Source organism: Homo sapiens, chromosome 5 (genome assembly GCF_000001405.40).
Source record: "Homo sapiens chromosome 5, GRCh38.p14 Primary Assembly".
Classification (NCBI taxonomy): Eukaryota; Metazoa; Chordata; class Mammalia; order Primates; family Hominidae; genus Homo; species Homo sapiens.
Window position 1 is genome coordinate 123865307 of NC_000005.10, and position 25564 is coordinate 123890870.

Sequence of the window (25564 nt, forward strand, 5' to 3'; positions counted from 1 at the left end):
TATTCTTTTAAAAAAGAATGAAGAAGCCCAAAATTATTTGCTGCCCTTGTCACATAATAATAATCAATCAGGAAAGCAGTTTAATTGGTAACTTTTTCATCTGTGTAGATCAGCACTAATCAAAAGAAATATAATGTGAGCTACATGTGTAATTTTACATTTTGAGTTGCCACATTAAAAAGGTAAAAAGAAACAGACAAAATTAATTTTAATAATGTTCTATTTAACCCAATACTTCCAAAATAGTATAATTTCAGCAGGTAATCATTGTGAAAAAATATTAACGACATATTCTACATTTTAATCTTCATAATAATGATAATGTTTTATAATAAATTCTTTTGTATATATTATACTTACTGCACATCTCCATTCAGTCTAACCATATTTCAAGTGCTCGATAGCCACATGTGGCGAGTGGCTGCCACTTTGACCGAACGATTGCAGATGATGATGTATCTGCCATCCCACTCCAGGGTCCATTGAATTGTCTTTCCTGTGGTGGTGAAAGGGTAGGAAAACTATGCAAACACTCACTCCTTGGTTTATTCATTACTGAAAGCCTAGTATGTGTCAGACTTAGTGCTACGTTGGAGGGAAGCAGACGTGAGTAACACCCACGTAGTTTAGAAAATAATTACAATATCACACGTAAAGCACTATAGACACATGGAAGACAGCATGAGCATTGCTAAAGGCAGAAATACAACATGAGAGTGAGAAGGCTGCACTCTGGAGTCAAATGGACTCATGCTCTAAGAGTCACATCAGCCCTTTGGGCTTTCAAAAGGAGTTAGTGACAAATCCTTCTTAAAGGGTTGTTATAAAGATAAAATGATAATTGGCTATAAATTTTCTGAAAAAAGTATACTGTATTGATTTACAGTTATTGTTATTATAAGGAAGATAATAATAAATTTGAGTGTTTATTGTTGAATGGAGTTTCACAAGTATATCAGTCAGGATCCACCAATTATGACCATTTTGCCTCCTTTCTTATCTGTCTGTCTATCATCTATCTATCTTAATCTTTTTCCTGAGCCATTTAAGAATAATTTGCAGACATCAAGTCCATTTTTTCCTAAACATGTTGGTATGTAGTTCCTAAGAACAAGAACATTTTCTTAAATAATCAGAGCGTAATTATTAATATCAGGAGTCTAAAACACAATGTTATTGTCTAATCCACAGTCCATATTAGTATTTTCCCAACTGTGCAATGTATCTTTCATAGTTCTTTCTTTTCCTTCTCATTCTAAGATTTAATAAGGATTATATATTATATCCAGTTGTCTTATCTCTGTAATCTCCTGGAATCTAGAACAGTTCTTCAGACTTCATGTGTATGAGTGTTTATAGTAAGAGTGTAGTGGTGGGGAGGGTAAAAGACCTTGACATTTTTAGACTCTATTACTTCTGTAGACTATCCCTCAACTTGGATTTTTCTGATGTCTTCTCATGATTAAATTCAGATTACATATTTTTGGCAGGTCAGTAAGAATTTCTGAAAATACTCTTTAATGAAGGTACCAGTAATAGCAGGAAGGCAACACCACCCCAAGATCTGATGGGAAGGGAACAGGAATGATGTTCTTGTGTTCTAGTTGGGAGCTGTAGCTGCAGGAGGGGCCTACCTTATTGAAGCTGTGATTACCCAGGGATGCTGCCTTGGCTAGACCCATGGCAAAGTGGAATGTAGAAGGAAGAGTAAATACCCTGGCTTTTCTCTGTTTCTGTCCTTGGATCATTCGCAAGTGCTCTCATTGGCTGAGCCCATCAAGAAGTGAAGAGGCGAGGCAATCTGGGTGATTTAGAACTTAGCAGTCAGTCTGCTGGGGCGGTGAGAATGGTACAGTAAAACAGAGTGAATCCTAATGGGTTTCGGAGAAGTAGAAAATAACCAGCACACCAGGTTAAAAAAAAATGGGAGAGCAGAGGAAACAGTATGTGCCAGGGCAATGGGATGTGAAAGGGCAAAAGTGTTGAGGAACATTCTGGAATGTCCTCTGTGAGGTTAAGAAGCTAGACTGGCCCAGTTTGTAAAAGTATTACATATTAAACTAAGGACTTTGAACTTGAGTGTGCCGATGTAAAGATTTTTTTTTTTTTTTTTTGAGACGGAGTCTCGCTCTGTCGCCCAGGCCGGACTGCGGACTGCAGTGGCGCAATCTCGGCTCACTGCAAGCTCCGCTTCCCGGGTTCACGCCATTCTCCTGCCTCAGCCTCCCGAGTAGCTGGGACTACAGGCGCCCGCCACCACGCCCGGCTAATTTTTTTTGTATTTTTAGTAGAGACGGGGTTTCACCTTGTTAGCCAGGATGGTCTCGATCTCCTGACCTCATGATCCACCCGCCTCGGCCTCCCAACGATGTAAAGATTTTTAAGCAGGGGAGTTACATGATCAGATCTGTGTTTCAGAAAAAACATAGCTATGGTGGCAATGGAGCAGAACGGTATGCAATAGAAATGGAAGTCAGGGAGCTATTGCAACAATTCAGGGCAGAGATAAGAAAAGACTCACTAAATCAGTTGCACTGAGGGCAGACAGCAAGAGACAAAAGAGGCATTTGGGATATTTCAAAATTAGAAAGAGGAAGGGGTCAAACATGCTTGAGGTTTAATTATTAATAATTAGTATTATTGATAATGGCAGCTAACAGTGAATACCTATGATTTGACACTAAATTAAAGATCTCATTAATCTTCAGAGCAACTCTGTGAGGCAGGTGTTATTACCAGTTTTAATTATGAGAAATAAAAATGTTTGGGTGGATGATAATACCATGAAGTGAGGTAGAATGTTTAAAGTTGCCAGTGGGGCAAACAGTAAGCTCTAACCAGTAAGCTATCGGAAAATGGGATATGGAGCTAAGGAGATGGATCTGGGCTGCTCTTGGGTATTTGAGGAAGCATCACATTGTTGATATGATAGTTGCAGTCACATAACATATGGGATCAACCAGAATGAGATACTGAATGAGAAGAAACACTGCCATGTTTTAAGCAGTGCTCAAGGAAGAGCTAGAAAATTTCAGATGTGTTTGGCTGGAAAGAATACTACATGTAGCCACTTTAGTTGTTGATATAATTGGCCTATCCAAGAATAGCACTTGTGAACTTTGGTCTCATTATCATTGTGATCTCCCAGCTGGCCCAGACTCATAAAGGACACATAATTTACTACTTTGAAAGGATAGCTGTGTGGCAAACAAGGCATTAATCTCTAGGAACATGACAAAAACTCTAGCTCATTACTGAAGGTGCAGCTTGCCTTGAATGAAGTACACTTGGTTTGTTCTAAGCTCTGCCAGTATTTTGTCACATGATCTTTCATACACCAGTTAACATCCACTTGGGAATTGAGTGCTTTTTGAGCTCCTAAACAGGGAATTATGTTTTTCCCATTAGAAAATTATTTTATGAAAATATTTCTAAGTTCCTGAATTAGAAGGATAGATTTTTTAAAATGTTCTATGCAAGATTATGTCTAGATCTTGATCAAAATGCAAAAGTCTGTTACACTAAATAGATCCTAAATTAGTGTTTCATAATAGGCGGAAGTAGGTGTATTATATATTTTTCACTTTTGGAAGGCAAATGGAAAACAATTTTGCATGTGGAATAGGAATCATTTAAGGAACTAAGGAAACCACTAATCTAGCTTAATGCTTTCTATTACTTAGGAAACATTTATTTTATCCCTTGGTTACTGGCAGTTCTATTATGGTTTGCAGACAACAATAGAAGATTTTATGTTTTATGCTTCACTGGAAAAAAAAAATAGTTCTCAGATATTTGGCCTCAGATAATTGTGAATCCCACTGAGGATGCATTGCATGTTTTCTGAGACTATGCTTTTTTAAACCGTGAGGAAGCACAGAACACAATTTATCCCGGGAGCTTTCCATTAGGATCTATACGATCTTTTCGTGGATTGTTAATATATACTATATATGGTTGTATTGTATATTATATCTCTTATTAACTCTAGTGCCATCACTAATGGTTTAATATATAACTGTATGTGCCTCAAGGGAGCAGTTTGTGTGTTTTACTGGCAAGGAGCACAAAAAAAATTCTCCCTGCTGTTTCCCTCTATTATAAATTAATATCCACTACCAAGGGACCTCTTATGATATAAAATTGTCATCCTGTGAGTGGTATGGATGAAATTACCATGGAGAAAATCTGAGTGCTAACCAGAGTACAAATAAGACACCGCCTATACTGCTGCAAGTAGGACCCCTGGTGTCTTATATTAATTTATAATAAATAATTTACATTGCTAATTGCAAAGTTTAATAACCTATATTATCTTTTTAGTCTCAGTGTAAGGGCATTTTCTATACTGAAAGGAAACCTTCTAATAACATGGAATCATTTTGCCATCAGCAGAGTGTGCTGCCATTTCTGCAAGAGAAGACTTTAGCCAGCAAGGGTACCTGGAGAAAGGACCTTTTCAAGTGACATCATTGCCTACATTGCTTTTCTTTTTGGTAGTGAAGGAGTTAAAGGAGAGGAAGATTGATCCATAATGACAGTCCCGTGTGTTGTAGTGTGGTGGTTGTCTGGCAACTGTACCTGTAGGAACTCAGTATTGGACTTGTATCTGTATTAATCCCCTCTTGTTGTCAAGCTTTATAGGTATTTAATATATTAAGCTTGGAAAATACTTAAAAGCAAAAGGGTTTGTTCATTTGATGATCTTTTGGAATTGTATCAGACTTATTTGTCAACAAATTAGGGTATTGGGGAGTAAGTGCTATGTAATGTCACGAATAGGCCTTGAATGTATTTGAGCATCTTTTTAACAAGACTAGCCCTCCCCTTGGTATCTAACATCTCTTATTTTATCTCTACCAAGGGCATATTTCTTCACTTAAAGAACAATTATTGACTCTCTTAAGTGTGTTAGCTTCTGCACTAGATATGGGCTTGAGTATTAATGTGAGAAAAACAGAGTCCCTGATCTTTTAGTTGAGAGCAGAGGCTTTGTGATCTAGTGCAGAGCACACCTGGTGAGGAATGTTCTAATTTGTCACACAGGCCACACGGCCATCAGTGTCAGCTATTCTTCTTACACTTTTGTGGACATGAAAGTAAGCTGTGGATTATGCCCAATGCCCAGCCCACTGTTTATAGCTCCAATCCAAGCTTTCCTCCTCTGCATATTCTCAGGGTGTCCCATGACATTGGTTAGCACCCTAATCTATGGCCCCTAGATCTTCATTTCTGTTTTCCATGCCTCAGCTTTCACTTTCAGAGTCTTTTACTATTTTGGCCTCATTATGACTTGCCTTCAGGCCATCATTGATCTCCCGTCTAATTAAATTAGGGTCACAGAAAAACTAGGAGGAAAAATTGGCTAAAAAATGACTTATTTTACTAATGAGAAAGCTCTTTAGGGATGAGAGTGTACCTCAAAATTCTAGAAATGGACATGGTCTCAAGATGAAATATATTAAATTGTGTTGACAATGAATAGGCTAAGCACTTCTATTGCTATCAATATGAAGAATCACCTATTATCATTCACAGCTGTTTCCAAATGCGGACATTTTGTCGTTAATCTTCAGTACAGCCATTATCTTACTTGGCAGAGAAAGTAGAAAAGTAGTCATTGCTTTGATCACTGTTAAAATAAGTTAGTTTCATATGAATTGTAAGCCTTTTTAGTGGCCACCAAAACATTTGTGACTTTCATCAGCCGATTTTATCCCAAATCAGTACATCTGATCACAAAGAACAAAGGGGTGAGACGACAGAGATGAATCAAAATGACCTATCTCCCCTATTCCTGTCATTCCCTAAGGCAGCACATTCCCTGCCACAGCTCATCAAGAAAAGGAACATTTATTAGGTGTATTACCGAATCATTGACATTCAATTGGGAAAGGTGAAGCAGTATATTACGGAAAAAGATTCATTAAAAGAGTGAGATCTTATGTAATTGTTGGAGAAGCTGGAGAAGGAAGGATCCAGAGGGAGAAATGGAGGATCTGAGAAAGGATCCAGCCAGCTGTCCCAAGGCACTGGAGCTGGTGGGAAGGTCTATGCTTGCAGGGGAATCTCAGAGGCACATGTGTCCAGTTGCCAGAGTAGGGCTATCAAGGGGAGCTAGGGAAGGGCTTGTGGAAGCTAGCACCGTGGCAGCCACTGCTTCTGGAGGAATTTGGCCAAGTGTTTGGTGAACCTGGGGCTGTTGCTGGTAGGCAGTGCTGGCAGTCACAAGGAAGAGCTGGACACAAAGCTGGGGGCAGTGAGGACAAGCTGGTGTAAGTTAGCACCTCTGAGTTGGTGTCCATATTTAGCCACAGGCACCTGCAAAGAGTAAGGGCTACTGCTTCATTTCTGTCTCCCAAAAGTCATACTAGTTCTTAGCCTGCAACCACCCAGGAAAAGAGATTCTTGGAAATGTAGTTCCAGATCAACCAGGTCCATGCAGTTGAGACCATCAGAGTGACAGTGTGGGGCTCTGTGCAGAGTGTCGGTGAGCTTTCCTTGAACATTCTCATCCCCTGCTCCTTGGCAGACACTTCAAGTAGGTGTCACAGCAAGCCCCCCAAGGGCAGGGACTCTTTATGTCTCACTCATCTTTTTCTCACCATTCTCAACTCAGAACTTACAGTGGGGGACAAGAGGAGAGGAGAAGAGAAAGTAGTCAGGGCTGGATACAGTAGGTATAATTTTACAATACCTCCTTTGGCCATGCTGTAGAATGACTGACTGCAAAGACTGGAGAGTGGTTCTGCAGCAAATGCTAGACTGCCCCTCTTGTCCCTGTCCCCCACTTGTAGCACTGTCCCCCTCAGATGGGTAACCAGTTAACTTTTTCTTATCTACTGTTGGGGTTCAGAAACCGATATCCTAAAATATGGCATGTGGACACGCTAAACTGAAGAAGAAGCCTCAAGGTCTCTTTGACCTTGCCTTGCCACCATCTGTCCCAAAACTGTTGTCTGCCTAAGATCCAGACTTACCAAAAGGAACAACTGTGTCTTCTTCCCCTCGCTGTCAGACCGAGAATGTAACCATACCTGAACAGACCTTTTCACTGCCAAAGGGAACTATTTAAAAGTTCATCTCTGTTCCTAGATCCATTCATTTTCCCTAGTAATCCCCTCCACAGAATTCCTCTTCTCCCCTCTCCCATAGCCTGTTTTGCCAGGATAGCGTATAAGCTTCTGAACCACCTTGTGGGGTGGGCAATCATATTGTGATTTTCCTTGTGCATGCACCTAAAAATAAATAAATAAATAAATAAATTTGTATGCCTTTTCTCCAATTAATCTGCCTTTTGCAAGTTAATTTTTCAGCAAACCTTCAAAGGGCCAAGGGGCAAACTTTCACCTCGTCCCCTACATCTCTTAAAAGTTAGTTAGACTCACAAGTTGCATTGAGCTAGTCATCAGGAATACAGAGATAGCACATAAGGTGCTCACTTTTAAGGCATTTAAGGGAGCAGGATGACATAAAGTCATGAAAGGTTAAATAGAAAAGTGATAGAAGAGAAAAATGAGATTTTTACAAATGCCAAGTTCAAAGGAGGAAAATCCACTGTGTCTCAGCACTGTGAGGGAAAGTTTCTTGAGGGAAGTAGTGCAGGCAAAGGCCTTGAAGATTGGGAGGGACATGATAAACTCAGCACCTGCCATCGTGTCAGTCAGCTTTGGGGATGAAGAAAGCACATGTGGCCTCAACGTGTTACTGCTGGCAGAGGTGGAACTAGTCAAATTATTCAGTTCTACTACACAAGGAGAAAAAAAAATAATAAAGACTAAGATTAGAGTAACTCAGGAAGGAAAAGTAGGACAAATTTACATGATAAGAAAATAAAGAACATAGAAAAAAATCTGTCTGTATCTATTTTGAATCTCTACAAAAATTCAATAAAAATGACAACAGATATGCCTAAAAATGGCTGTGTATTATGGTAGGAACTGTGTTTTTCCTGTGGTTGAGACATTTTGTCTTTAATATATTAATGTGTGTGTGAGACTGGGAGTTCATTCTCCAAATGGAATTATATTATTGGATCAGCACACAATTTTTGAGTCAGAATACAATTTGGATCAGAATTATGATTTTTTAAAAATCCTGTGGCTTAATTGCCAATTCAGGAAAATTAATATGCTCCAGAAAAGGCCCTGCAGAATAAAGTAGGCCAAGGGTTATAATGCAATTGAAGACCATGAACTGGGTCAGCTTTAGTTTAACAGTTCCTTTCCCTCAATGGCATTTCCTTAAAAACGATCCTGATTCTTTAGTTGTGTTTAATTTTGCTCTAATTTTACTTTTCCTCTCTTTGTAATAAGGCCTGGATTATTTCCACTACAGGTTAGCAAATTGGCCACTATTTTCTCTGTATGTCAAAAAGTGTAAATGACAAATGTTCCGCTTTTCTCTAGCATAATTAAATTTGGCCTGCAGTTTAAATCCACATAGAGACCATTATTTTCAAACTGAAAGCAATGGATATCCTCAAATTACTTAGAAGCACTGTCATTATGCACAGACACAAAATTTCTGTAATTTAGAATAAGCCAAATAGATACAAGGCTAATCGTTTCATCGTATTTAGCCTAAGAATAAGACCACAGAGAGGATATGATGATAGCTTCTCCCTATTTAAAGGCTGAAGTAAGCAGCAGAGTCAGGATGGACTAATGAAAACATTCTCATAGTCAAAGATCTATGTTTGAAACTCCTCCTTCTGCAACTTAATTCTCCTTGTGCAATGTAAAGATTGACTGGTTTCCACATTCATAAACTGTGGACTGTGATGAGAAACATCTGAAAGAATAAAATGAGGTAATGCTGCTGAAAGCACTTTGAAAACCATAAAGCACCAAACAAATATTAGCTGTCAATATCAGCAACAACCCAAAATACTGCATAATGTCATCTGTGATAAGAAATATATTTGTAACTGGATAAAAGAAACCTCAATAAATATTTATTGATTAATAATAATTAGATGGTTATGGTGGAACCAAAGTACCAAAGTGTGACAGCGTATTAGAATCTTGCAGCTTCGAAAATTCAAAAAATTTGTACAAGAAATAGTTGCCTGAATTCCTACCCAGTATCAGAGCTTCCATGATTAGTAGCCAATCACGTACATATTTTCTTTTTTTTTTCTTCTAGATGTATCAGGGCATTTTCCCCCTGGACTTTGTTTCTTCAGCTAAAAAACATGACCTTTGACTTTCTGAGCAGCTGTATATATTTTTCGAAGATCAATCAGGGGAAAAAAATCACTGGAAATGGCAAGTGGATGGGACAGTGCTGCACAGTGTAAATGACAGCTGAAGGTTGACAAAAACGCAGCCCCCACTTCAGTTCACTGCTCTGTAGCAAATGTCTCAGTTACTCATAGAACTAAGCCACTCTGAAGGACATTCTGGCAGAAATACTCCTGCCTGCTTTTTAAAAAGAATGTGTGGTGGGTGATGGTGGAATGGCGGGGAAGGTGGAGTGGAAACTCTAAACATTTGCTCCTATCTGTCAGAAATCATCATCTGAGATAATTTTATTATTAGGGAGGGAAAGCAAACCTCAAGCCGTTGCTTTGACCACAGAGGCCAGAGGTGTTTGTGTTTGTTTCAAGATATTGAGTCCGGAGTTGAGATCTGGTATTTTGCTGGTGACTGCTGAAGAGGAGGGATTTGGCTCCTGGCAGAACATAAAGCCAAGCTGACAACAAAGCTTTCCTTTCAAGCTATCCAAATGAACACATTTCTAATCTGAAATTCAAATACTTGACAACAGAGAGCCTGTGAGCTGGGCTTTGAACAGGAAATTGCTTCATGGTTTTAGCATAATGAATTAGGCAGTTAGACTAAATCCATTTAGCAGGAAAAGAATGCTTTCACATGCTAGTGAAAGAAAGGAGGGGGGCAAAACCTTCTTAATTTCCCAAATTTCACAGGACTTACAGACACAAATGCTCCATATAAATTTTATCTGTTGTGTTCTATAATTGGTATGTAAAAAACCGTCAGGTCCTGGTATTCAGAAATCACCTTTGTTAGAAAATGCTGCGCCTTTTAATGTTGGGGAAACTGAATGTGATGAATAAAGGTTAACAGTTCTCATCTTTCTCCGCGTCCTGTTCTTTCCATGCCAGTGGTGAATGCATTTTAATTCTGGAACTCTTTTTTAGTGGCTGCCAGTGTTAAGTTCAACAGATACAATATTGCACTCTTTTGGGGAACAGGGAAGAGATGGGGAAGAAGAGAGGAATCCTCTCGCCTTCCTGGACACTGGGCTGAGAATTGCACCTCTGAATCTCAGTCCTGAACACAGGAGGAGCTGCCCAGTCATCCGGGCTTGTGACAACAGAGGTGGGGGCGAGGGAGGGGTAAAGTTTGCTTGTGTCAGGTCCATGTAACAAGATTGACCTTGAGAGAGCCTGTTGACAGACATCCCTTGGGAAGGAGAGAGCTAGAGAAAATGAAAAACTTTTAAAAAGGAAGAAACAAAGAAAAGCAACAGTACTAATAGCATAAACAAGACAAAGATCCTGAGAGAGGAGAGGGTTAAATCCTGTCCCAGGGACGCTCGCAGAGAGGAGGGTTGATCTGTAACCAGCCACAGCAGCACTTCCTAGAGGCTTGCTGACTATCGACACTTTGTTGTGTGGGGCACCGCCTCTGAGCTTGGGCCCAAAGAAGACAGCTAAGGGAACAGTGTTCTGTGTAATCACTCTGCCACCAGAGAGGACACATGCATAATAAGCTTTGACATCTTTGCATTTACAACTTGCTAGGTAATAGACCCAAACTGTTTCTGGCTCCCCACCTCTATGGAAACAAAATGTAAATAAATATGGCTTCTTTTTAATCATTGTTTTCAACTTTCCTTTCAGAGGGAACAGTGAAGGCCGTCCAGTTGTCATGGTGATGAAGACACTATGACAAATTACATTACAAAGGGATGGTTTTAAAACCACTAATGTGTACCAAGCACCTAATTCATATTTACAGTTAAAATAAAAGAACTGCGTCTCAATTTCATCAGTGCTAAGGAAATCACCCTTCTTGGCGCAGACTGGGAGACCCTGACAAGCAAATAGGTTGGTTATAGGATCACCTACTTGAATGGATGACTAATGAATTAAGCTGGGAACTATTGACATTTAAATGCATGAGAACAGTTCTGATCTGGAATAGTAATGATCACTCCAGGAGCGGAATATGAATATTTAAAGGACTCTCTGCCTTGTGAGTTGGGCTGAGGCACCAGGCAGAACTAGTCAAAATTCCTTCAGGATAGTACCTCAACCCAAGGAGTGTGAGATGGGCAGAGAGGAGAGTCTGATAGCCAACTAGCTCAAATTTATCTAGGGAAAACAGGATGGAATTCCAAATTTAAGCCTGTTGCCAGATATAATATTCCAGAGTCTGGAGAGAGAAGGGGCTGTTTGCGGGAGGGGCATACACAGAAGCAGGTCCTGAGAGATGAGCTTTTTTGCCCACAGAAGCCAAGAATCCCTTTAATGGGGGCAAAGTCTTTAATTGTATGAGAAAAGAGAAAGCGTGAAACGTAAGTGAGCCTCGGAGAGCTAAAGTAGAATGAAATTCATGTTGGCTTAGAAAGGGCTCATATTAGAGCTTTCTTATGGGGAGGAGAGAAATCTCTAAGGACGGGTTTCTCAAATATAGGCTCTTGCAGATGCTGAGAATATCTTTGCAGACCTGCCCCACAACTCTCCCCCAAGAGAGTTTTACAGGCTCTCTTCAAGGAGCTGGAAGCACTGAAAAGGCAGTGACAGATGAGAATAGTTGGGAGCATCAGAGACACTGAACATTTGTCCATCCAAGTCCTTTTAAGAGCAGAGGAAAGGGAAACATTGTATCTCCCCTCCCGGCCTCCACTCCAGGAATTAGAAAGAGTTTAGGCTAAAAAGGTCTGTTACAAGCTCAATATTTCCTTCAGATTTAGAGACTTATCTTAAAAATTCTTGAGTAATTTATTTTCAGTTCCAGTATGTGTTGATATCATCTTAATATAAAAATGATTTAAAATCTACTGTTGCCAGGCACAGTGGCTCACGCCTGTAATCCCAGCACTTTGGGAGGCCGAGGTGAGCAGATCACTTGAGGTCACAAGTTTGAGACCAGCTGGCCAACATGGTGAAAGCCTGTCTCTATTAAAAATACAAAAAAATTAGCCTGGTGTGGTGGCGGGCACCTGTAATCCCAGCTACTTGGGAGGCTGAGACAGGACAATCGCAGGAGGCAGAGGTTGCAGTGAGCCGAGATTGCACCACTGCACTTCAGCCTGGGCAATAGAGCAAGACTCCATCTAAAAAAAAAAAAAAAAATCTACTATCAAGCTAACTTGAACTTCAGGAAGAGGTGCCATGCTTACTGTGTGGCTTTGCAGGAACTTGGCTCCCTGCTCCTGGGCTGCCTCCAAGTTGAGGAAAATGGACCTGTGACCAGCTCTTTACATAATTATTGCAAAAAGAGTAGCCAAAAGCCCAGCTCTGGCTGTTGTTTTCATATTCAGTTCAACCCTATCTCAAAACAGGTAAAGTAATTTAAGAACTTTCCTTTCTTTTAGCTCTTCCATGTTGCCCCTAAAGAATTAACTGAATGGGCTGGGTGCAGTGGCTCACGCCTGTAATCCCAGCACTTTGGGAGGTCGAGGTGGGCGGATCAGCTGAGGTCAAGAGTTTGAGACCAGCCTGGCCAACATGGTGAAACCCCATCTCTACTAATAATACAAAAATTAGCCAGGTGTGGTGGTGTGTGCCTGTAAGCCCAGCTACTCCGGAGGCTGTGGCAGGAGAATTGCTTGACCCGGAGAAGGGGAGGTTGCAGTGAGCCGAGATTGCGCCACTGCACTCCAGCCTGGGCAACACAGTGAGACTCCATCTCAAAAAAAAAAAAAAAATTAACTGAATGGAAAACTTGATAAGGTTACTTCAATCTTTTCCTACCTCAACCTCTAAAGATTTAGCATCTCCTTTGGGATGGTTTTTTTCTCTCTTAGTATGTAAAATATAGTTAGAAACAAATTGCTAATAAGAAATACAAATTGACTGTAAATGCAAATTTACCCCATCAACCTAAACTAAGTCATCTTTCTCTCCTCACCCTTTTGGAGACAACAGATTTTAATTAAGTATTAGCATAGGCAAAGGGCAAGCCTTACAGGTACATTGCTGAGGAAAATCCTCCAGTGTTTGCATGCCGTTCAACAGTGCATTTTTCTGCTTGTCACCAGGTGGTCCCTTAGTGTGGGGACTGCAGAGGCATCTCAAGCCTGTGGGACAGACCCCCATTTGGCGGGCTGATGGAGCTTTTCCAGCATTGCAACAAACTATACCCCTTTAAAAGGGAAAATATAACAACAGAAGTTAGGAGAAACATTAGCCATCTATTTGTATCATTTCATTAGTGTTCATTAAAGTTTTTAGTAAAACAGCTAATATAGAACAGGCAGAATAATGTTCTTATTCTTAGCCATAAAATTGAGTTCACCATATATATAGTTAAGGTAGGTCAATGGCCTTCCTCAAACTCCACTTGTTTGTGTACTATCTTCGTAGATCATCTACACAAAATTATTTTCTTTTTCCATTGTATAACTTTAAATTATTTTTGTTTTCTTGGATTTATTATAAGCAAGAATATTGATGAAATGATAATTTTGATATGCTAATGTATCTAAATATATTAAAATAAGTAATTATTAAAATACAGGGTAGAATAGTGTGTCCATCTGCCACCTATACATCTTGTGAAACCCCAGTATTACACATAAAACAGGTAACGCTGGACTACATCAAGCCCTACAGTGATCAGTAAGGGGTTAAACACGGAGAAAGGAAGTAGACCAGATTGCCTATATTCTGTAGGTGGAAGCTTTGGGCTTTGGATTTCAAGGAAGGGTATTTTGGGCCACAGGCAGGCCAGGAAGAGAGGGAGCGCTGGGCTCCTCTAGGAATTCCTGAGGGGGGCTGGGGGCTAAAGAGTGCATTGCTGAATCCACAGGTATGCAGAGCTGGCACTAGAGAACCGTGGCCCAACCTATATCCTGCTCATCCTGGATCACTGCTGGTGCAGGGAGGGAGAGAGACAATGAACTGTTAGATGACAAGGCAGACAGTGCCTGTCTGTCAGTTTCCTCTGCATTTGTAACTGTGGGTGGGTTATTATTGGAATAGAGTAAGATCAACTGATATAAAAAAATAAGAATGCCTCTTTTTCCTTTGTAGGCAAACCAGTTTGAAGGGTTCAGTAAATGATCCCTGTTTTTGTACCTGCAGCCCATGAGCATGGTGAAAGAGATCAATGTTTTCCTAGGGGAGTGTGCAGATACTGCAAAAGTTTCCAGCTGAAGCAGAATGTTACATTGAAAGGTCTTGGGCAGCAGCCCATGTGTGGCCAGTGAGGTTGCATGCTGCCCTGGTGCTGACTAGGCAGGGGAGCATGCGAACATCACCATATCCAGAATTACCCTGGAGGGTCTTGGGAAATGGGCCACTCTAGGCTGACATTTCATCCAGACCTTCCCTATTTTCAGCCATGTTCCCCTTGGAGTATAAACACTGGCTAGACAAATAAGAGAAAAGATGTGACAGTGTGGGGTCAAGGTCTAGGTCTTGCTATTGCTGTAATTTGTTAGTTTTCCAATAAATTAAATCCCTAAGTAGATCAAAGTTATAAGACTGTTATAAGACTGTGCCTAGCATAGTGCCCAGGATACTGTTCTACCACTAATAATAGGGCAATACAACACATTGTGCTTGCTATTTATAGGCCACTCTTCTGAGTTCGTTACAAGTAGTAATTCATTTAATCCTCATCATAAATTATATTCAATATATATGATTCCCACTTCACAGATGGCGAAATTAAGCCCCAGAGTGGCTATTTTGTCTGTGGTCATGCAGCTAGTGTGAGGCAGAGCTTTGAGAATCCGGGCAGCCTGGCTTTAGAGTGCCCTTAGAACTACTGCACTATTCTGTTTTGCTTACTCAATATGGAATGGATGGGAGGAAGGTGAAATAGGGGCTTATATGACCTACTGAGCTTGATGTCTTTGATCCTATGTGCCACCAGAAACTTAGTGGTTGTGAGTCCACTACTTGTGCTAGAAAGATCAGGGATTTCCTTCCCTCCCACACTCAAAACTAAAATAAATGAATGGAAGGTTCAACTCAGGATTGTCATTAGAGTGTTTGGGGAAAATGTTACCAGGTTCCTGTTAACTACAACCAACACTGTGTAGATAAATACTATATGTTTCCTGATGTTAATGTTTGGCTTTGAGATAATAGTGGTAAATCAGCAAATTCAGGATCATATTTTGTTTGTTTTAGAAGTGCAGACAGGATCTAATCAATTTTTCTTGTTATATCTTCTTACAGAAATCCATTCAGAATGGTCAAGCTTCTTGAAATAGAATATATGCACATAAACTTTAAACAATATTATAATTGGGTCTGAGCTATTTTGAATTTTGGAATCCAGTTTGTCATAATTGGATCTTCAAATTAAAGCTCTGGGCAAGTATTTAGATATTAAAATATTAAAAGCATAACATGACCTGGTCATTCTTCATTTAGTGGTATTTGGGTTCCATTACTGAAATATATCCCATAGGGTATGGCCTAGTAGTAAAGCTACAGAGTTCTAGAATCAAATACTTTAAGTTGGAAATCTGTTGGGTTTCCAATACTTGCAGGCTGTAATACTTGTAGTACTGAAATACTTGTAGGCTGTGTGTCCTGAGGCAAACTACTTAACCTCTCTGTGCTTCTGTCTTTTCATGTGTAAAATGGGGCTAATGTAGTCCATGATCATGAGGTGATCCATGTAATGAGCTCTTAGTACAATGCCTGATACATTGTAAGTACTCAGTAAATGTTAGTTAAAATGAAGAAATAAACATACATTGTGCAATTCTAATTTACAATGAACAAAAATTTCATTCAGTAAAAATATTTATTATCAGAAAAAGGTCAAACTCTAGCTCTTTCACAGAATGCTAATTCATGAGATTTTAAATTTGTATTTTGATTATATGATTAATGATTAATGGTAGATGCCGTGTCAGACATACTATATGTAAAAGACCCTTCCCCTGATTCCACACATATAATCTGAGCATATCTCCTCTACAGTAAACACAATAACTGTGGCTTGAAAATAGCACTGAGTAAGGTGACATTATTTTTTCCTGGCAGTTTCACTCCTGTAGTCATCTTATAACTTTGAAGCAGATTAATCCATTAAAAGGTGTACTCCTAGTGTTTAATAATTGCCAGTAAAGTCTAATCAGATAGCAACCGCTACAGAAGAGCCTTCAAGAAATACTATAAGATAATTAAAACATAAAGGTTATGCAAAAGTAGCAAATCAATAGAGACAGTAAACATGGTTTATCAACAGTCCTGAGAACATTTTTTCAATTCTAAAATGTAAATGGACTTGGGATAGAGCACACGCTAGGATGATAGATAGGATCCCGGTAACAGTTTAATTAACTCCAGTTTCCTGTACGTTAAAGGTTGCCTCAACCCACTGGTTCATGTAACAAACTCTCTTAGGATTTCCTTAGCCGCTGTCTGATATGAAGACCAGGCAGCCTTCCTTCCTTACAGGGTTAAGTTTTGCCCTCCTCCTCTGGAGGCTTTATCAAAACACAACCCTCTGTTTTCTCTATAAATACACAGATATTTTTAATTTCAGCTAAAATGGTTTGACTTTGTAATCAAGGTAAAAGAAACACACACACACTGCCTAAGTAATGAGAAGAGTTTGCTGGGAAGAGTTGTGTAATTAAAATTACATATTAAAATTCACGTGCAGTGTGTGTAGAATTTTAGAAAAACCATGGCAGCTCTCCAGATGACTCATTTGCTGTTTTAATTCTTCTGTAATGTAGGCGATTTTATAATTAGCCACAGAATTGTGCCACTTGGTTAGTTCACAGTGAAAAGAATAATAAAGAATATTTACTATTAAATGATATTAAAACTGCTACTCTGAGCAGCCCTGGTAAGAAGTAGACATTTACTGTTCCTAGCTAGCCATTATAAATGGAATATAGCCAGTGCTTTGCTTGCAATAGTTAAACCTATTGGGCGAGATGAGGGTAAGCTTCATTTGAAGAATTGCAATATTTCTCAAAAATGACTGTGAGGGTCAAGTGTTAAAAGAAAAATTCTTTTTCCAACTGGGTGGAATTAGGTTTCATGCAATTAACTTTATCATTAGTAAATAAAAGAGTCACTTAACCTCTGCCCTTGCAGAAGTTCTTGATATTTTGCTTAGTAAAGGGCAAGAAACCTGTTATGGCTTATTTATTCACTTCGTTAAAAGGTTATTCTTAAATATTGTGATCTAGAAACACATAATACATAATGTTTGTTAATAAAGATATATTTACTACACCATTTAAAGAAGCTGGCTATTATATACTGCTCATTAGTGCTGTGAACGGGAAACCTTTTTCTGTTGTTCCCATGGGAAAGGTTATCGAGCTGTCAGTAAAGGGCTCATTTTCTTTAAATTAAAAATCACGGAAGAATCTTGTGTAGAGGATATTAAAAGCAAGTGTAGTCATGCTGTCTTATTGCAAGATGAGCTAGAGGTAAGTATGTGGTTTAATGCTTTTGAAATGAAAGTTAGAAATGCCGGCTACCTGTGATTTTGAAAATTTCTCTCTCTTCCAACAGTTAGGATTTTCATCCTGAAGCAGAAATCTAAGCTTGTTCTTCTAACAATGATTTAGAGGAAGAAATTTAACACCCCCTGCTTGCAACATCCATTTTTCAATAAATCTATACTTTCTCTGCCCTCCTCCGTGTTATCAGTCATCCACATCCCAGAGGAAATGCTTCAGGCTTGGGGTTAAATTAAGGTCCTATCTCTAGTGATTGTCTAGAATGCTGTCTACATTCTCAAACAAACTTATCTGCATTATATACAGCCATAAATACTTCCTGCCAAGTGGAGACGCTGGTTTTGTTTTGTTTTTGTTTTTCCATTGATGTTAATGGAGAGAGTACTACTTGCTAGTTGAAAATTAAAAGAAAAGCAACAATTGTATTTTATTATGAATTGAAAGTAGGTTGAATCTCAATCAGTATAGTTCTGTGATGCTGAACTTAACATGGGACATGGATGTCCTATATTCTTTCTTGAAAAAAATTGATCTAATGAGATACATTGTCTTTATATTTCTCAAAATAATATTTCAAGTTAAACTACTTCATACCACCTTTCTTTGACAGTTCAGTGATACTTTTTCAGCTCTTTTGGGATAAATATAGCATCTGAAAAGAATAAGCATTTTACAACCTCTTGCTTAATAAATAAAAAATAGAAAAACATTCTACATAAATTAGTTTTACTAAATAGAAAAATTATCTCAGATATCAGGGTTAGTCAAGGTCAAAGATAATCAAATTTTCTGATAAAAACATTAAACAAACATATGACATACCACAACACACACACATACACACATAAAATATCAATATTTGCTTTATCAAATATAGTGGGAGATAAATAGGCCATCAGTATGACTAAGAGCTAAACAAAACCCAATGTATAAAATGAGAGAGTTTCCATAATAATTTGCTGTAAAATCTTTGAGTCGAGTGATAGAGGAAGGCATCACAGAAATATCTGTGTGGGAGGAGGGTAGCTTATTCTAATTCACCAGCAAATCATAGCAAAGTGGAGAGAGAGGGATACTTTATATTGTATGTTCAGGCAGGAAATTCATGTGCTCATTCATCCAGTAAATATGCATTGGATATACATGCCAGGCACAGTTCTAGGCACTGGGGATATGAGTTAACAAAGCAAAGTCCCTGTCATCATGGAGCTTACATTCTAGTGGGAAAAACAGACCAATGAATATACAAATATAAAAATATATGTGTTTTTATAAATATATGTTTTTATAAATAAATCTGGATTGTGGTAATTCTGAATATTACAGTGTCAAGGTTTATAATATTAAAATTCTGTGTTCTACAATTATTTTTCTGCAGTTTTTAAAGTCTTGGTTTTATGTTTCCCTAGTTGTGTATATCCATTTCTCTATTCTCTTTCTTTTTTTTTTTTTTGAGACACAGTTTCACTCTTGTTGCCCGGGCTGGAGTGTGGTGGCAGTAATCTTGGCTCACTGCAACCCCTGCCTCCCGGGTTCAAGTGATTCTCCTGCCTCCGCCTCCCAAGTAGCTGGGATTACAGGCATGCACCACCATGCCCGGCTAATTTTGTATTTTTAGTAGAGACGGGGTTTCACTATGTTGGTCAGACTGGTCTTGAACTCCAGACCTCAGGTAGTCAGCCCGCCTCAGCCTCCCAAAGTGCTGGGATAACAGGTGTAAGCCACCACGTCTGGCCGATTTCTCTATTCTTAAGGTCTTTGTTTTCATATATTTTTCAAAAAACCGTATTTTATATCCAGGCATTTTTTACAAGAATTAGGGGAGGCCAAGGCGGGTGGATCACCTGAGGTAGGGAGTTCAAGACCAGCCTGGCCAACATGGTGAAACCCTGTCTCTACTAAAAATACAAAAATTAGCTGGGTGTGGTGACACACGACTGGAATCCCAGCTACTCGGGAGGCTGAGGCAGGAGAATTGCTTGAACCCGGGAGGCGGAGGTTGCAGTGAACCAAGATCGCGTCACTGCACTCCAGCCCGGGCGACAGAGCAAGACTCTGTCTCAAAAAAAAAAAAAAAAGAAAAGAAATGGGGATGGTTATTGCCTGAATTTTTGCATCCACCAGAATGCCTATTTTGTGTACATTCAGTCAAGTTTCAATAGGGAAACACAAGATTACTCTAGGCATTTCAAGAAGGGAGGAATTTGAGGAAGGCAGAGGTTTACTGAACAGTTCAAAGAGCTGACGTAGTGAAAGTCAGCACAGCTGACATTCAGGAAATCAGAAAGGATAACCATTACAGATGATCTAAGGGACCTCTGGCACTCAAATAGTTGCCTTCCAGGAGGATGCCTAGAAACTGCTATTTGCCAAAGCCTCTATTCTTGCCTGCTGCCAGCACCAAGCCATGATAGCTTCTGCAGTTTTTTGCCTTCTAAATCTGTGCAAGTTCCTCTCATTGGTAAAATCCAATCTGGAAATCTGCTGGCTGGGATTATAGAAAATAGTGTTGCCAGTCTTTATATTTTGCAATACAGAGGAGAACATAAAAGGAACAAAATGGTACCTGCTTATCAATAGATAATCTGAATATACCTTGACTGTTTATAAAATTGAGTAATGTGTTCTTTCCCATATAAATATTCTCCAATGACCACTGGCACTAAGTGTTACTATAGGGCCTGATTAGTTTTCTCCCATCCTCCTACTTTCTTTTTAAAAAATCTTGACACCAAAGAACCTTTTTCTTTATTTTTGAAGTTCAATTATATCATGCAGCGTCTGGGCATTTATCGTGAATTGTATTATTCCTAATGATCCCTGAACCTGTAAGAGGAGTGTATTTTCCCAACCGGGTATCATGCTTGGCCACGTGACTTGCATTGACCAATAGAATGTAAGGAGAAATGACACGGTAGCAGTTCTCAACCAGAAGCTTTTATAGTCATTGTGTTTTTGCTAACTTGCTTACTCTTTTCTTTGTCAAGAGAATTGCATATCCTAGATCACGGCTTTGCCTCTAACCCTGGTCCAAGAATGAGAAGACGTGGAGTAGAGCCAAACTCAACCTGGAGCCATGTAGCATAGGCAGAGAAATAAACTCTGTTTTTTAAGTCACTGAGATTTTGAGGCAACTCATAATTGCAGCAGAGTTAACCAATGCTGTGTTGCTGATTCTACGTTAGTCCTGATATGGTTTGGATTTGTGTCCCCACCCAAATCTCATGTTCAATTGTAATCCCCATTGCTGGAGGTGGGGCCTGGTGGTTGGGTTATGGGGGCAGATTTCTCATGAATGGGTTAGTATCATCCCCTTGGTGCTGTTCTTGTGATAGTGAATGAGTTCTCATGAGGTCTGTATGTTTCAAAGTACATAGCACCTCTCTCACTTCCGCTCTTGCTCCTGCTCTGGCCGTATGAAGTGCCAGCTCCCCCTTCACCTTCTGTGATGACTTTAAGTTTCCTGAGGCCTCTCCAGAAGCTGAGCAGATGCCAGCATCATGCTTTGTGTACAGGCTGTGGAACTGTAAACCAATTAAGCATCTTTTCTTTATAAATTACTCAGTCTCAGGTATTTCTTTATAGGAATGTGAGAATGGACTAATACAAGTCACCATGCCACTCCTTCCAACTTCTCTTGAATTCAATACACCATTTTCATATGCTATCTCAGATACTTCCTAATTTCAGGAATGCTTTTACCTTGACATTTAAAAATTCGTTTGCTGTCCTTTTTTTTTTTCCTGCTTATTTTATTGAGGGAACTTAAACAGTGCAATGATCTTTTTTCAAAAAATTGGTTTATTTCTTTATTGTAGTCTTGATTTTCATCCATTAAATAATGATAATAACCTGGCTTATCATGTTCTCTACTGCATTCTCAGTGCCTCTACAAAGCTTAGCTCATAAAAGACATGGAATAAATGTTTAAAGAGTGTGTGAATAAACAGATATTTTCTACTATAATATGTATTTTCTGAAATCTTGTATACTCAATAAGATTAAATTACTCATTGGTCTTATAATCATATAAAATTATTTCAAATTTGGCTTGTTTTCTTGAGTACTATTTTCTGAAATGTACTTTCTTTTTTTGATATGGAGTCTCACTCTGTTGCCCAGGCTGGAGTGCAATGCTGTGATCTCGTTTCACTGCAACCTCCGCCTCCCAGGTTCAAGCAATACTCTCGCCTCAGCCTCCTGAGTAGCTGGGATTACAGGCACCTGCCATCATGCCCGGCTAATTTTTGTGTTTTTTATAGAGATGGGGTTTCACCATGTTGGCCAGGCTGGTCTTGAACCCCTTACCTCAGGTGATCTGCCTGCCTCAGCCTCCCAAAGTACTGGGATTACAGGCGTGAGCCAAGGCGCCTGGCCTGAAATGTATTTTCTTTAGCAACTTTTCCATTTGTTTCTTTTTTCTGCTATGGTGCAGATTCTATAGATAGATCTTATTTTGTTTATTTTATTTATGATTAGAACATGTCATTGAATTAAAGGAAATATTGGCTAAGAAAATAGTGCAAGTGAATGTGTGGTTGCATAGTAAGAAAGGGTGCTTTGTGATTTCCATTTAGATTTATATTCCTAAATACTTTCTCAAAAGGTATGTATTTTTCTCTGGACACATGTCTTCCCTCAGTCTTTGATGTTCAAGAGACTTCTTTGTCTAGAGGGTTTGTTAGTAGACCAGAAACTGAAAACTAGCAGCTCTGAGGATATATGTAGCCAGCTGATATGCTGTATTTGGCCTGACAGTTATTAACCTGAACAATGTATTTTCATTGTTAACATTTAAAAGCTGGATGAGTTCTCATAAATATCTAGACCTCTGGCTTTTCCTCAACCCCTCCCTCATCCAACTGGAAGGTTTGAAAATATTGGGTCTGCACTTATTACTGAATACAGAGTAGCACTGAAGCTGGATAGTAGCATCTCTCCACTGAGAGGAGATGTGTTACCCAGTTGGCCGCAATTTCTACCATTCTTAGCTCTATCACTGTGGTGAGCATAATGAGGTGACCCCGGTGAATCATGACCTTGTATAATCCCCTCCTTTTGAATGCAGGTGGAAACTGACTTTTTTTCTAGGCCAGAGAATAATGACAAAGGTGATGGGATAGTCATTCTTAGAATTGAGTTACATTATAGAAAACTCCGTCTTAGCAGATTGGTGAGAGATTCTCCTTGTGACCGTGAAAAGGTGAGTTATTTTATTGTGGGAGGGCCTGTGTGAGTGTCTGGGAGAGGGCCACCAACTGCAGGTATCCTCATGTGTTAAGAGAAATTCCCAGCTGCGATGGACAGCAAGAAAATGAGTCCTCAGTATTAAAACCACAAGAAACTGAATTCTGCCAACCACCATGTGAACCTGGAAAAATATACTGAGTTGTAAAAAGGAGTGTAGTCTGACCAACATATTGTTTGCAGCCTTGTGATACCCTGACCAGAGGACATAGTTAAAAGCCATGCTGAGCTTACAGACGCACAAAACTGAGAGATAGTAAATGTGTATTGTTTTCAATCACTAACTTTGTGGTAGTTTTTATGCAGCAAAATAAAAATATACCACCCACACTGAGGTCATATGTCAGTTATCCGTTATCTCTAATCTTAGTTTTCATTGGCATTCAACCTGGCCCAGTTCACCTATTTATCTTATCTAGGAGGCCAACGTTATTCTGAAACAACTAGAAAAAGTCAAGTGAGTTTTAAAATGTAATATTTTAAGTAAAATAGAGGGCAATGGAGTGAAAGTAGAGTAATTGAGCTAAAATTTCAGAGAGGAGGAAAAATGTTCTGAGTTCATTTGACTATTAGCAGAAATTTCTTCCCTGGGGCACTTGTTGATTCAGGGAACTAACTGAGGATTGGTCCTAGCCTTGGAAAAGAATCTCTGTTGAAAGGAAAAAGTAACCTACAAGGCTTTTATTGGTTACATGAGCTAGAGTGACAAATTAAAAACATAAGGGGTCTTAAATGCATGATTGGTTCTCTCCTGGAAATATTTACACCGTCCTGGTTCTGTGTAAGGAGCTGTGGAGCCAGACCAAAAGTTCTAAAAGGTCCTCATTTTTGTAAGTCTCAGCGAAACCCCAGCATAATAAATATAAGGCAACCCACACCTGGGAATATAATAGGCAAATTTCTGAAAGCCAAAGGGAAAAAATAAGATAAAACAACCAATGGATAAAAAGACATATTACCTTCAAAGAAGCAATAACAAAAATTAAAGCTGACTTCTCAACTGAAATGTTGTAAGTCAGAAGACAGTAGAATGCCATCTCTAGGTGCTGAAAGATAAAAACTGATGGTATATAATTATTTACCAAGAAAAATTCCTTCAAAATTAAGGTAAAATAAAAATGTTTTCCAGACAAACAAAAACCAAGGGAATTTAACACCATCATGCTTGAAATAAAATAAATACTAAAAGGAGGGAAAATGTACCCAGAGAAAACATGGTAATGCCAGAAGGAATAAAGAACATTAGATAAGTAGTGAGAATAAATTAAAATAAATACTCATGTTGCAAAAACAATAATTGTAATGTCCTGTGGAATTTACAATGTAAATGGAATTAAAATTTTAATACAGCTGGAAGAAGTGAGATGAGGGTAAATGGAATTAAAATATTCTACAATTCTAACAGTATTAGGCAAGTGGTAAAAATATTCTTTTAGATCAAAATAAGCCAAGAATGCATGCCTTAATTTTAAGAGTATCACTAAAAGAATCAAAAGTTTTATGAGTGGCTTGGGTTTTCCATTGAGCTCTATGTACCCTGACATTCTGTTGTTTCTAGCAAGGTCTCAAAATGTACCTTCCTTGATTCTTACGTGTTCCACAAACACCCTGGCTTTGGTACCTCTAATTAATGTCTTTTGTTAAGCCTTTTATAACTATGATATTCTTAGATAAAGTCTATAGTCTCCTTGAGATCTGAGATAGCAGTTTGGTACTCAAGCTTCTCTTTTCTTTTCATAGTTCTTGGAAAGCTGGATAACTAGATCATGGTTGGAATTGTGACCAGTTGATTGTGTTATTGAAAATAAAATTGTACTGGTGGTCTAATTTTTTAAGTGAGGGTCTAAATTTTCTAGAAAGAATAATGCAGTACAAATGGACTTATCGACAGAACTATTAAAATTCAAAGTGTGAGGAGAAAATGGAATTAATATGTATAGAGGGTTTTTTGTTTGTTTTTTTAATAATAAAAGTTGATTTGGTGTTTGTTTTAAGTAATTTATTATAACTATAGCATGTTCTTTGTGAGTCTCATGGTAACCACAAAGCAAATTACTGGAGAAAATCACTTAACCACAAAAAAGAGACAGTAATGAAGAAAGAAAGACAAAAGCTACCAAACAAATACAAAAACGTAAGAAAATGGCAGTAGTAAGTCCTACTTATCAATGATAACATTGAGTGTTAGTGGACTAAATTCTCCAATTAAAAGACATAGAGTGTCTAAATGACTTAAAAAACAAGACTCAACTATATGCTGCATATAGGAAACTCACTAAACCTATAGAGACCCACATAGGTTGAAAGCGAAGGTATGACAAAAGATATACCATGCAAATGGACACAAAGAAAAGCAGGAATATACTATACTTATATAAGATAAATTAGACTTTAAGTGAAAAACTGTCAAGAGACAAGGTGTTTATACAATGATAAAAGGGTCAATTCAGTAAAAGGATATAACAAAAATAAACATGTATGCTCCCAAATTTGGAACCCAAATATATAAAGCAAATATTAATAGATCTAAAGGGAGAGATAGACTGCAGTACAATAACTGGGGGACTTCAACACCCCACTTCTGTCAATGGACAAATAATGTAGTCAGAAAATCAACAAAGAAACGTCAAAGTTAGATGTATTCTGCACCAACTGCTGCAGAATACATATG

The 25564-nt window shown here is 38.7% G+C and overlaps 3 annotated features.

Annotated features, from left to right (window-relative positions):
• Positions 9028–9778: an enhancer, noted in NCBI's record as "OCT4-NANOG-H3K27ac hESC enhancer chr5:123210028-123210778 (GRCh37/hg19 assembly coordinates)". NCBI's record gives its function as "activates a minimal SCP1, AML or CMV promoter by ChIP-STARR-seq in primed H9 embryonic stem cells {active_cell/tissue: H9 hESC(primed)}" and the evidence as "EXISTENCE:reporter gene assay evidence [ECO:0000049][PMID:30033119]".
• Positions 9779–10528: an enhancer, noted in NCBI's record as "OCT4-NANOG-H3K27ac hESC enhancer chr5:123210779-123211528 (GRCh37/hg19 assembly coordinates)". NCBI's record gives its function as "activates a minimal SCP1, AML or CMV promoter by ChIP-STARR-seq in primed H9 embryonic stem cells {active_cell/tissue: H9 hESC(primed)}" and the evidence as "EXISTENCE:reporter gene assay evidence [ECO:0000049][PMID:30033119]".
• Positions 10529–11279: an enhancer, noted in NCBI's record as "OCT4-NANOG-H3K27ac hESC enhancer chr5:123211529-123212279 (GRCh37/hg19 assembly coordinates)". NCBI's record gives its function as "activates a minimal SCP1, AML or CMV promoter by ChIP-STARR-seq in naive H9 embryonic stem cells {active_cell/tissue: H9 hESC(naive)}" and the evidence as "EXISTENCE:reporter gene assay evidence [ECO:0000049][PMID:30033119]".